Below are 13,149 nucleotides of genomic sequence, written 5' to 3' on the forward strand. Positions count from 1 at the left end.
AATACAATTAACATGCAGCATAACTGGAGATGCCCATACTTATAATTTGTCAAAGAGAAAACGCACAACATTTAGATGAAATGCTTGAAAATTTGAGTTCAGATTCAGAGATACTTGTATAAACCTGGGATAAAATATACTCTTTCTGAGGAGAGAAAAGAGGCTGATGAGGGGTTTATATATCTTTATAAATCTCCAGTAAACAGATAACTAAAGGTCCAAGTCCTTCAGTTATTTAATTAATTACAAATTTTTAAATCAACTGCTCTACATGAAGCAGTTGAAATGTTCCAACCAATGATAGGCTTAATATCTACAAAATTTTGATAATTTTTCTGTCATTATTGAGATGAAAAATTAACTGTCAGGTTAAAAAATAGCCTCACTGTGGTTTGAAAGTTCAAACCCAATACGTATTGCCTAAGCTTATCGTAGTTTAATTATGTAGAAGCAATAAGCAATGCACAAAAGGTTAAACAGGGTGATATCCTCAGTAGCCCCTTTCATGATTCTATCTCTCTACCGTCACTGATTTTGTCCCTTTTTATTTTCTCCTTTCCACACAGCTCTTGTCAACCCAGCAACTTTAAGTACAAAACCCATATCATTCCAAACATGAAATAGATCACATTGTACCAATTATCTGTTGTTAAGAGAAAAATCCTCATTTCCACCTTCAATACAGCCAAAGCAGTTTTGAAATATTCTTAAAAAAAAGAAAGAAACCAAAAACAACTTGAACATAATAGAATAAAAATACTCCTTACACTTTCTTACCCTTTTCAAAATTGTCATCTCATTAGTCTACTTAAGAGATATAAGTAGGCCCAAGAACACTTTCATCCACGTTAGATAAATCGAGATATTTAGTGTAAATCTGAAATGGTAAATAATGATCTAACTATAATATCATCAGTAACACTGTCTCAGGGGTTAAAATATAAATGAATCTTTTTCTAAGGAAAAGTGATTTATTTCCCCAAGTTTCCCCCATCGGCTGCCATTTAATCATACAAAATTTTACTTATAAATACATTGGGAAATAAGTTTTCCATTAAATCAACACAGATCTTTATCAAGACATGTACCATGTTGAAACAGTTTTCCCCAGGAAAACTTTTTTCTCGTACAGGCTTCCACAAAATCTCTACAATTATCTCCACCATATATTTAATAAATCAAGTTTAAAAGTTATCGCAATTTAAATAACTGGACAGACATCATATGTCTTTGGGGAAGAAACAGATGCATAAAATAAATCAGAAAAATCATAAAAATAATTATAGAAGTAAATCATAAAAGAAATATAGAAAACCAAATTAGAAAGAAAAAGCAACTTTTTAGGGGAATATGGGTCAGACAGATTAATAGCTTTATCTTTGCTATTTTTTCCCATTTATAGTTGAAGAGACTATGGACATAAAACTTGGAACTTGGAGAAAGCTGTTTTTTTGCCTCTATAGTATTAAAATTGAAGTGAAACACACCCTATGTGTGAAGATTGTACATTCGTTTTCTTGCCAAGGCACAATTTCGGAGACAAATCTTTGAATTTGGAAGGCAATCTCCATAGAATCTGCCAGATATCAAAAAGCACATCATTTTCTTTACAAAGTTTCAAGTTAATCTGTTGGTGCCAGTTGGACGATGTGATTCGCTCAAAACAAGGACTAAGGAATCTAGTAGGAATTCTGAGAAAAGAGGATTTCCTGTCTTTCTATAGAAAGGGCTGTGTACACAGGTCCTGAGCTAGCTGGAATGGAAGCCAAACAAGTGTATCTCCAGCTATTATTGGGAATAGTAGAACAGAACGTTGACTGGGAACAGCCAGAGGGTTCAATTACCTATCATTCACTCTCATACTAATCAATTGGTGTTGTTCGGTTTGGTCTCAAGAAAAAGAAATTGTAAACTCCTAGAAGAATTTTAATTTATGCTCATTTTATTTTTTTAAATTGAATACTCTGCTTAGCATGGTACTGTTTATAGAATTCTCCCTGTTGAACTGTAGTTAAACTGAATTGTACACATGCTAATCCCTGAGAGAAAGATGAGGTATTTTTAATTAAAAACATCAATCATGTTAAAGACTATTAAATCTAGTAGATCACTTTACCTAATAGGCGTTTTAAATCAAACTTCTATTTTTGGAACTTTAAAAAATATTTTTCTACAGTCCCACTTCTACAAAGACATTCTTCAGTTTACACTGGAGACCAGTTTATGCAGTTTGTATTGGAGCCTAGTCAAATTCTTCCACACTCTTCCTACATTTCTTTGTATAATGACCCCCCTTTCCCCAAACTCTATTTCTGTTGTTAATTTCCTGAGGATTGTATAGAACGCTGCTTAAATGAGAAACATCAGTACTGAGGATGTAGGCAATGCCTTAATTGATCAGATAAACATGGTCCATTTAGTTTTGCTTTAACTCAAACTTCAAAGTACCAAGCTGTAGGTTTGCTACATTTTGGCAGAAGCAAAAAGCCTGAAACTCTTCAGGAGGTAAGGAAGCTATGGAAATTAGGCATCTGCCCAAAATCTAGGATAAAGAATAAACACTTAAAACTCATTTTAACATCTACTTTGAACTGAAAAGAAAAGGGCTCATGAGAACATTTGAATATAGGAAAAGGACAATTTTCAAGACTGTGAACTTGAACCCATTTGACAGCAGAGAATGTGATCTCAGGGCCATGTGATACTGGTCTGTCTTCATTAAAGTCCCATCAGCCCTACCAAGATGAAACAAACTTTCTAAATTTTCCTTTACTCTTCCAACTGCCATATGTGAGCTCTCGGTATGGACTTGCCTCGGGAGGATTTATATAGGCCTTTTGAACTTCTAACAGAGTCTCTCTTTTGAGTAACCATTTAAAAGATGATTAAATTTAATTAGACTGTATTTTTTCCTTTGACATGTGCCTTCAAAGTCCATTTTATTACATTCTTTTATCCTAGCAGCACACTAATGCTCTCGGGTGTAGGGCACCTTCAGATGCAGGAACACAGGAGGGAGATATTTATATACTCACTTAATCCCCTGGGAGTATTTTAGGAATGGCCGACATCTGACATCCATGCCTGCCCAGCAACACTGCCTGAGCTAATGTTGCTCAGGAATCAACTCAGACACATGACAATTTGGATGAGTAATCTGAGCCCTCCATACACCTGTCCTAGATAGGGGTTCAAGGTGCCCTTGGGTTGTATCATCTATTTATACCCTAATTATTTCTCTTTTGATGTTTTTCTTATTCTCTGAATTTATTGATAATAACTACACTTCGATAGTGTGTCCGGAACTGGTGGGTTCTTGGTCTCACCGGCTTCAAGAATGAAGCTGCGGACCCTCACAGTGAGTGTTAAAAGTTCCTAAGGGCGGTGTGTCCTGAGTTTGTTCCTTCTGATGTTCGGATGTGTTCGGAGTTTCTTCCTTCTGGTGGGTTCATGGGCTCGCTGGCTCAGGAGTGAAGCTGCAGACCTTTGCGGTGAGTGTCACAGCTCTTAAGGCACACTCTCGACTTGTTCGTTACTCCCCGGTGGGTTCGTGGTCTGGCTGGCTTCAGGAGTGAAGCTGCAGACCTTCACGGTGAGTATTACAGCTCATAAAGGCAGTGTAGACCCAAAGAGTGAGCAGTAGCAAGATTTATTGCAAAGAGCGAAAGAACAAAGTTTCCACAGTGTGGAAGGGGACCCTGTACAGTTGCCATTGCTGGCTGGGGCAGCCTGCTTTTATTCATCCTGCTGATTGGTCCATTTTGCAGAGAGCCAATTGGTCTGTTTTACAGAGAGCTGATTGGTCCGTTTTGACAGGGTGCTGATTGGTGCATTTATAATCCCTGAGCTAGACACAAAGGTTATCCACGTCCCCACTAGATTAGCTAGATACAGAGTGTCCACTGGTGTATTTACAAACCCTGAGCTAGACACAGAGTGCTGATTGGTGCATTTACAAACCTTGAGCTAGATACAGAGTGCCGAGTGGTGCATTCACAATCCCTTAGCTAGACATAAAAGTTCTCCAAGTCCCCACCAGATTCAGGAGCCCAGCTGGCTTCACCCAGTGGATCTCGCACCGGCCGCAGGTGGAGCTGCCTGCCAGTCCCGCGCCGTTTGCCCCCACTCCTCAGTCCTTGGGTGGTCGTTAGGACCGGGCGCCGGGAGCAGGGGGCGGCGCTCGTTGGGGAGGCTCAGGCCGCGCAGGAACCCACGGCGGGGGAGCGGGGAGAGGAGAGCAGGGAGGAGACTCAGGCATGGTGGGCTGCAGGTCCCGAGCCCTGCCCTGCAGGGAGGCAGCTAAGGCCCTGCGAGAAATAGAGCACAGCAGCTGCTGGCCCAGTTGCTAAGCCCCTCACTGCCCGGTGCTTGCGGGCTGGCCGGCCGGCTGCTCCGAGTGCGAGGCCCGCCGAGCCCACGCCCACCTAGAACTCGTGCTGGCCTGCAAGCGCCGGGCGCAGCCCCGCAAGCACCGCGCGCAGCCCGGCAAGCAACGCGCGCAGCCCCGGTTCCCGCCCGCGCGGAGCCCACGCCCACCCGGAACTCATTCTGTCTGGCAAGCGCCGCGCGCATCCTCGGTTCCCGCCGCGCCGTTGCCGCCGCTCCTCTCCCTCCTCACCTCCCCGCAAGCTGAGGGAGCCGGCTCTGGCCTTGGCCAGCCCAGAAAGGGGCTCCCACAGTGCAGCGGTGAGCTGAAGGGTTCCTCAAGCGCGGCCAGAGTGGGCGCCAAGGCCGAGGAGGCGCCCAGAGCCAGCGAGGGCTGCCAGCAAGCTGTCACCTCTCAATAGGAACTGGTACCAACCTACTTACGAAGAAGTATTTGTTTTAACCTGAACCTGGGGTAAGATTTACTCAAAGATTATTTCAGAGTCTAACCCACTCTTAAAACCATGTTTATACATTTACTAGAAATATAAGTCAGTGTCAATGGCATTACAGGGATCGATGGAAAGCAAGTACCTCAATACCTGTTCGACAATTAGGTCATGCAGAAAATCACTAGATGTACGATTCAGTAATTTTTACTTTTATTGGTAGAATTTGGAGAGAAGGAGAAGAAATATGACAAAGAGTAGCAGACATTTAAAGAAAAGGTAAAAGTCAACATTTGCAACCGGGTACTAAAGACTCATTCCTGTTAAAGGAGAGCAGATGTAACTGCTCAACTGCTTCACAATGCCTTTGGTGATAGCTCTTGCTGGGACATGTGGATGAATGCAGTTTTCTCTCTTCACAATTGCGTTGTTGCTTTAGCCAGAACGCTGTGGCATTTTACCAGCCTTTCCCTTCTTGGTCACATTTTTTACAAATATAAAGAAGAAAGAAAATGAACACATTGCAAGTAATTTCTTCTTCATTTTGGTGTGCTATTGAACAACACCGGTGTGCCCCTGTGGTCCTGGCTGCCTGCTTGCTGCTAACTTCCCCGGGCCTCTAAGGCTTGGGCATAGGGAGGCAGAAGATTGTTTGCGGTTTTTCGCTTTTTGCTTTTTCATTGGCGTGACAGTGCCCAGCAGTCTAGTCTATTCTTTCCTTTTTCATTTTTTCACTGGTGTGAAGGAGCACAGTCACTTAGCGAAAGAACGACCTGCGGCTAAAGGGAGCGAAGAAGAAAGGAGCAGGCCAGCCTGGCCTTTCTCTGTGGCCTGAAACTGCCTAAAGTTAATTGCTCACATAAGAAGAATAACTCGTGGTGCTGTAATTGAATTTTTATGGAAATAAACAGGTGGCAGATTTACTATAGCTGGGGGATAGTAGGGGGCGAAATGCTGTAGCCACATTAACCTGTTTAATTTAATAGCTTCGGTACTCATAGGGGGGAAAGAAAAAAGCAGTGTTGCTCTTTGAGTCAGTTGGATGCCAAATGTAAATAACTACAGTTACCCTAGCATGCCCAAGTGGTTGAGCAAAAAAGGGCTTTGTGCCAGCTTCAACTTGGTTTTCATGTTTATTAATTAAGCTCCTGGAAGTTTCAAAAACAGAAGTTTTAACTCACAAAGAACTGGGAAAAAAAGGAAGAGGAAAGAATTTGGCAAAGGGAAAATAGACCGATAGACAGACAGACGGACGGACGGACGCACGCACGCACGCTCGCTCTTCTTCCATTAATGGCACAGCACCAGTCTGTGATAGATATTAGGAGCACTCTATACTGGACACAGGAAGGAAAAACTAAAGGCTAGCTTTGCACGATGCTGCCCCCCAGTGGTAAGATTTTGGAAATGCATTTTTATATTAAGTAGAAGAATCAGTAACTGGTGAGATATGCAGAGAACACCATTAGCTTCTTGACGTAGCTGACGTTTACTTTTAAGCCAAATACCAGGAATAAAAGTTTGTGTTGAAATTTTTGTCTATTTGACTGCAGGGAAAAACAACATGAACTGTTCGTCTATCTATATCGTCATTATTTTTTACCTCATGGATTGAAACAAATTTTAAAGGAAAAAAGAATGTTAAGAAAGAGCAGCACTTACTATCAGGGAGGCACCTCACGAGCATTGTAAACACTCAGGTGAGTAAAACACGTGCATCCTCTGCCAGCTTTCCCAGGCTTGAGTGGTGGGCAGATTCCTAGATGAAGAATTTAAGATAAAATAGAGTTTGCTAAGTATTAAAAAGCACACAAAGAAAAATTAGTGTGAGCGTGAAGTAGAGTATCCAAAATTCATTTTATCAATAAGAAACACTTTACACACTATTTGAATTACCTCATCAAATACCTAATACCCAAGATTATCAGAACCAGAGAAATCCAGCCAAACATTGCAATGGAGCTAAAGAGTAAAAACAAACCCAAGACTAAGCTGGCAAGAAGTCAGAGAGCCTGAAGGGTGCTCTTTCCTCTTACCAGTTTTGTTTTTGGTCCCATAAACCTTTAGTAAGTCCTTGCTGAGTGCATCACACTTTACTGACTGCACTTTAGGGTGTCAACTGAAGAGTGATTAACTTCATAAATCTGAAAGGAGAGCTTAAAGGTTCTTCTCATGAAGGGTTGGAGCCTGCCGGCGACCATTCTGACAGACTGAGAAGTGTAGCCTCTGGCTAGAAGCTGGAAACAGGCATGTAGAGGGTAGGATAGGAAAAATAAGATGGATTTATGGCTAACAGGGTGGCTAAGTATACATATTCAGCAGGTCATAGAAGGAGATATAAATATTCACAAAGGGGAGGCACAGCATGTGTAACATGCATCCCATGTTCACTCTGGGATGAAGACTTAACATTTAAATGTGTTACAATTAGACCTTATACATCAAAAGGTGAACCAGAGGACACAAAGAACCTCTATGTGGCAGCCTACAAAGACGGGCCCCAGGAGCACTTCATGGTCAATGGTCTCTTATCAGGAAGGAATGCTGGTCAGTTGCTGTGTCGAAACTGTGAAAAGGGCCAGGTGCAGTGGCTTACGCCTGTAATCCCAGCACTTTGGGAGGCCGAGGCAGGTGGATCACCTGAGGTCAGGAGTTTGAGACCAGCCTGACCAACATGGCAAAACCCCGTCTCTACTAAAAATAAAAAATTAGCCAGGTGTGGTAGCAGCCACCTGTAATACCAGCTACTCGGGAGGCTGAGGCAGAAGAATCACTTGAACCTGGGAGGTGGAGGTTGCAGTGAGCCGAGATCGTGTCATTGCTCTCCAGCCTGGTCAACAAGAGTGAAACTCCATCTCAAAAAATGAAAATAAAAAATAAATTAAAAAAAAAAACTGAAAGGGAGGGGCAGCATCAGGCAGTTGGTTCCTATAGGTGGCAGAAGGAATCTTTCAAAAGGGCTGGTTACTGTTAAACACCTAGGGAAGAGAACCTAGTGGCGGTTAGCAAGGGAGGAGGTATACGAGGCACATCTGACCTCCCATCGTGTCATGGCTGTGAACTCCATTTTTAAGGTTTCTCTGAGGTCCCGTTGGGCAAGAAGGGGTCTATTCAGTTGGTTTAGGGACTTAGGATTTTATTTTTGTTTCTCAAAGGGCACTTTTACCCCATGTGCTGATGTCTGTCCGTGCACAGCCTCGGGCTCTTCTCTCCTCCGTCTGCATTTTTCCACATAATGGACCTCATTTCCCATCTATGGACCAATGACTTCCATATTTATTTCATCACCAAACCAGTTCCTATTATTTATCCTCATGTCTAATTTCTCACTCAACATCTTCATATGAATGTGTGTCAGGCCCCTCAAATATTATAGGTCTAAGATCATTGGCCCCAATCTTATTCTCATTCAGTATATACACGATGAATATATATACATATTTATGTATATCCTGCTATGCAAACCAGAAATATAAGAACACTGTTTTACATTTTCTACTGTCTCACACCCAGTGTTCAATCCATCACCAACAGTCAATCATGAGTCCTATTAATATTAATTCCTAAATGTCTCATAACTCTATCTACCTATTTCTATATCCATACAACAAACTCTCACTGCAACAATTCAATAACATACCTTGCCGCTCTCTGTTCATACCCATACTGCACCCAGAGTATTCCTTTACGTGTCTAATCATGATATTATGTCATCCCTGTTTAAAGCCACACACTTGATTTCTCATCGCTATTCAGATCAGAGAAAATCCTGCAAGTTCAGGTCCCTGTCTACTTTTCAGGCTCCTCTTGGTCACTCTGAACCTCACATTCCTCACTCCAGGTGTACTGTCTTCCATTCGCTTCTCAAGCACACTTTTCTCTCCTGCTATGGAATCACTGCACGGACTCCTTTGTCTGTGCTCTTTGACACCTACCTCTGCCTTAGAGCTCATCTGAAATATCACTTGCTGAAGTAAGACTTTTCCTACCTTTCCCATTTTCTCCTCCAAAACTCCTTGCATACACAGACACACAGATACACACACACCCCAGGACAACAGAGGGTTCCCCTGTAACACAAGCTTATAGAATTATCTTGAGCAGTGACTGTCCAGTTTGTACCATTAAATTATCAGTGCTACAAAAGCAAAGACCATGTCAAGATTTGCTCATCATTGTACCCCTGACACCTAGCACAAAGCATGAATCTTGGTTGCTACTGAATAAATATTTGTTAAATGACCATCCAGGGGTACAATTTATCGCTCAGTATCGCTACATCTTCTAAGCACGGGACAAAATAGAGACACAAAAAGAATCATCAACCCAACATCTTTCAGGCTTTTAATGATATTTTTAATTTCCGTAATTCATCTATGAATGCAATACTTCTTTGGATTTTAGTGCTTTAGTAGGTAAGGGCAATACCAGAAGCTTGGCATTTTCTATCACAATGGCCCTACTCCATGGTGCAGAGACCCATTTGGGGATTCTGCCAATTGCTTAAGAGACCTATTCCAGTCATATCCTCAGAAAAATTACCACAAGACTGGACTACCTAGAGGCCAACTGAGATCAAAACTCAATTTATAACCTGAAGTACAATTTGTCATTCTGATAAGTAGAGACAGTGTTATTCTCAGTCTCCAGGAATCAGGATAGCTCTGAGTTGGTGTTTAACAATATCCCAAAGCTCTGGTTATTTCTGTTTTCCAGGGCATGTTTACTGTATGTATTTTTACTATATGGAATTTTATAGCTCCTTTGCATTCTATTCACATTCCGTTGCATTTTATTCACATATAAATAATACCTGGCATGAAATGTCTGTGTAGCCAGATTCTAGGAAGTATTTTATCAGCATGACCTAAAATGCAAGCAGTCTATTTTTGTCACAAAGTTAAAACAGTAACATTTGGTACCTGAAAATGTTTATGTGAATGTTGACCCCTAAAAGCACATTACCCTTAGAATGTAATATCACTATTCATGCTGTTTGCTAGATCATTGGTGTAAAACAGCAGTAGCTCTTTGGAATTTTTTTCTCCAAAAGGACAGCATTTTCTAGCCATTCTGAATAAACCCCCGAACAAAGAATAGGCAAACCAGATTAAAAGCTATTTATCTGCAATATCTGCAATAGCCAAAGATCCTTTGCTGAAGGCTGGGAAGATTTATTGCACAAACAAGTGATATTATTGCTGAGTCCATCTTCAAAGAATTCTTGATTATGGCGTTAACTCAGGTCTGAGAATTGGGAGAGAATGAGCAACTTCCCATAATGATGACCCAGGTCAGACCTATACTTCCCAGGTGTGGGGTGTTTTCCGTAACACAAATCAAGAGGGACTAATGTACTATCGTCTATTTCAGTCAAGAGACCCAGTGACTGGTGAACCACTACCAAAGGTTTCTGTAATACATAACACTCTGCTGATGAGCTTGCCCTGCTGCCTTTTATGATAACCACAATGATTTTGCGTCCTTCCTTTGAATGCTGCTACTTGGCCTCTGCTGCCCTAGAATAGTTTCCTTTTCATTTCAATCAGGGAAACCATGTCAACTGAAGCATCTGCCATCAACATCCTCAGCTTAGGAAGAACAGTAGAACAAACTCTCCTCAAAACTCCCTTCACCAATACATTCCTCAAGATATTGGTGAAGAAATTATCTTCTAGACATCTTGGGTAATAAATTAGGATGAAGGTGATTTATGTATAATTCCAACCCAGAGTACTTGCTACCCTTCCCTGCATTATTTAAGAGATTTCTAGGATCGCAACTTCACTATCCCAAGCCTCCATGAAACCCAGATTATAACCAAGCAAATGAGCCAAGAATCAGACCCACTGTAGCCACTCTGGGTAACTCTTTCAATATAGAAGCTCAGAGTGATACATTTATTCTTTTGAAAAATTACACGTTACCTGTCCAAGGTCAATTACTAGTACACATAGTCCCAAGTTTTGTTGTCATAAGATCAAAAGAAAGAAATCTTCTCACCCAGATTTTACAATGCTTTTGACTTCTCTGGGACATGTTGGGATTTAACCACTAGTTCAAGTCTGGAGATAAATGAGGGCGGGGGTGGTGTTCACGGTTCTAAGTGGTAAACGGACTCTCTCTTGCAAAGTCAGCCTCTGAAAAAGAAAGGAAATACAGTCTCCAAGCAAGAAAAGCCGCTTCCATCGAAGAAGGGAGGATGCACTTCTGTGATGCCATTAACAGTACTGCACTGGCAAATGTTTAACAATCCATTCTCCGGCAAGGGGGTTAGGGACAGCCCTGATTGTGGCATTTCAAATACTTGTAACTGACTTCAAATTGTCAACATATCATGGACACAGAGTAGAGATGAGATAAATGCAGTTGATCTCAGGAGCTGGCAAGAGCTGGCTCCAGCACACAACTACAGAGGGGGAAAAGGCTATGAGTTCAAGGCTTTGGAATCACCCCACATTGTCTAATTCTTATGCTTAGGATCCTCCAGTCCTATAGTTTTCTGAGCATTGCTGTCTCTCACTTTCTCATACAAGGACCGGCAAGACTCTAAAATCAACTGATAGTATAATTTGGCAATCATAATATCAAACTTGGAGTTTGATTTTCACCTACATGAAAGTTGAAAGAATTAGAGAGAATTGAGACTCTGTTAGGATTGTGAGAGTTCCAGGAACTCAGTCTTTGCCATAATCAATAATTTAAGAAGATTAACTTATCATTTATCTTTTATTATTATTATTATTATTTTTTGAGACGGAGTCTCGCTTTGTCACCCAGGCTGGAGTGCAGTGGCGCATCTTGGCTCACTGCAAGCTCCGCCTCTTGGGTTCACACCATTCTCCTGCCTTAGCCTCCTGAGTAGCTGGGACTACAGGTGCCCGCCACCACGCCCAGCCTATTTTGTGTATTTTTAGTAGAGACAGGGTTTCACCGTGTTAGCCAGGATGGTCTCGATCTCCTGACCTCGTGATCTGCCTGCCTCGGCCTCCCAAAGTGCTGGGATTACAGGCGTGAGCTACTGCGCCCAGCCTATTTCTTTTTTTTTTTTTTTTTTTTTTTTTTTTCAGCTATTCGGTGCCCTCCAAACATCAGGTGCATCCCTACAGTCTTTCATCTTTTCAATGACGGTGGCAACTTGGTTTCCCCAAAACCTCGCCTTGAATAGGCATTTCATTCTAAGAGAGCCTTTCATTACAGGGACCAAAGGCACTGTTTAGTTAGCTCTTCACCATGGCATAGGATGAGCTACCAGGATCGTGTCTGTGAGGACAAGTGGAATTTTGCCCCTTTTGGCCCCAGTCTGAAAATCAATTCCACTTGCTGACTTTTCACTCCACTTTCCCTAAAACTCTATTACATTAAACTGATTCCAAAGTATGACTTTCTGTACTAATGAGATCTTTAGTTCAAAGGAAGATAAACCAAATATGTTTCAATTAAGGCAAGCAAGTAATTTATGGCAAAGATATTAGTTAGCTCACAGAATTATATGAAACTTAGCCAGGAAGGCTCAGAAAGTCAGTGGGAACCAAGGGAGATTTGTCAACAAGAAACACTGCATAGGAAAAGGCTAGATTGGGACACCACAGAGTCTCTAGCTAGCACTATCACCTCTGTTCCAGTCTCTGCTGTGCTGCTACTGTGGCACTGTGGATCGTTTTTCCTCTATCCCCAGATGGGACCATCTGACTTGTCAAACCAAGGCTATGTGCCTTTGTCCTCTCTGCCTTAGTATAGAAAGACAAAGCATATTACCTCTTCATCCTTGGACATGAAGCCGTGCCTTCTGCCAAGACTTGAAAACTCAATGTAGAAAGAGTGTTCATATGCCTAATAGTCTGAAGTGATCACGACTGTGTTTGATAGATTAGGAATTAGATGCTTTGATAGAACAGTTTCAAGTGACTGGGGAGCAGAAAGTGAGACCGCAATAAAGAGAGGAGTAAATTAGATGAAGAACAATTACAGGAACTAATGATGACAGACTAATCTTTTAAGAAATTTCATAGAAATAGAGGAGATAGTAGCTTGAAGGGCAATGCAGATTTGGAAGTAATGCTTTGTTTATTTTCTTTATAAGACATAAATTCATCAAGTCAATTAGAGAATGCACTTAAGAGAAAAAGACTGAATATTTCAGTAATCACGGGGATAATTGAAGAATGAATGGAAATGGGTAAAATTAAGAGCATGTGTGTGGATTAACTTTTTAAAAGAAGAGGGTAATATTTTCCCGAAAATAGGAGAGAGAAAAAGGACTAATGATGACAATGATATCGTAAATCAAAGAGGGGCAGGTTACAGTTGTTTGTTAAAGGAGATCAGGCAGCCT

At 41.5% G+C, this 13,149-nt stretch overlaps 2 long non-coding RNA genes across 2 annotated transcripts in view; one reads left to right on the forward strand and one right to left on the reverse strand.

The window, feature by feature from the left end:
• The window catches only part of LINC00616 (long intergenic non-protein coding RNA 616), a 103,264-nt gene that overhangs the window by 57,045 nt on the left and 33,070 nt on the right, over positions 1 to 13,149 (reverse strand). Inside the window, exons 6-7 of the long non-coding RNA NR_037866.1 lie at positions 10,818 to 10,954; positions 6,477 to 6,573 (exon numbers count right to left, since the gene is read on the reverse strand). This is a non-coding gene — a long non-coding RNA (long intergenic non-protein coding RNA 616). The remainder of the gene's footprint in view (positions 1 to 6,476; positions 6,574 to 10,817; positions 10,955 to 13,149) is intronic.
• Positions 4,548 to 13,149, forward strand: part of SLC7A11-AS1 (SLC7A11 antisense RNA 1) — an 89,164-nt gene continuing 80,562 nt past the window's right edge. The window contains exons 1-2 of the long non-coding RNA NR_038380.1: positions 4,548 to 4,840; positions 6,368 to 6,514. This is a non-coding gene — a long non-coding RNA (SLC7A11 antisense RNA 1). The remainder of the gene's footprint in view (positions 4,841 to 6,367; positions 6,515 to 13,149) is intronic.

The sequence above is a fragment of the Homo sapiens genome, chromosome 4 (assembly GCF_000001405.40).
Source record: "Homo sapiens chromosome 4, GRCh38.p14 Primary Assembly".
Taxonomy (NCBI): Eukaryota; Metazoa; Chordata; class Mammalia; order Primates; family Hominidae; genus Homo; species Homo sapiens.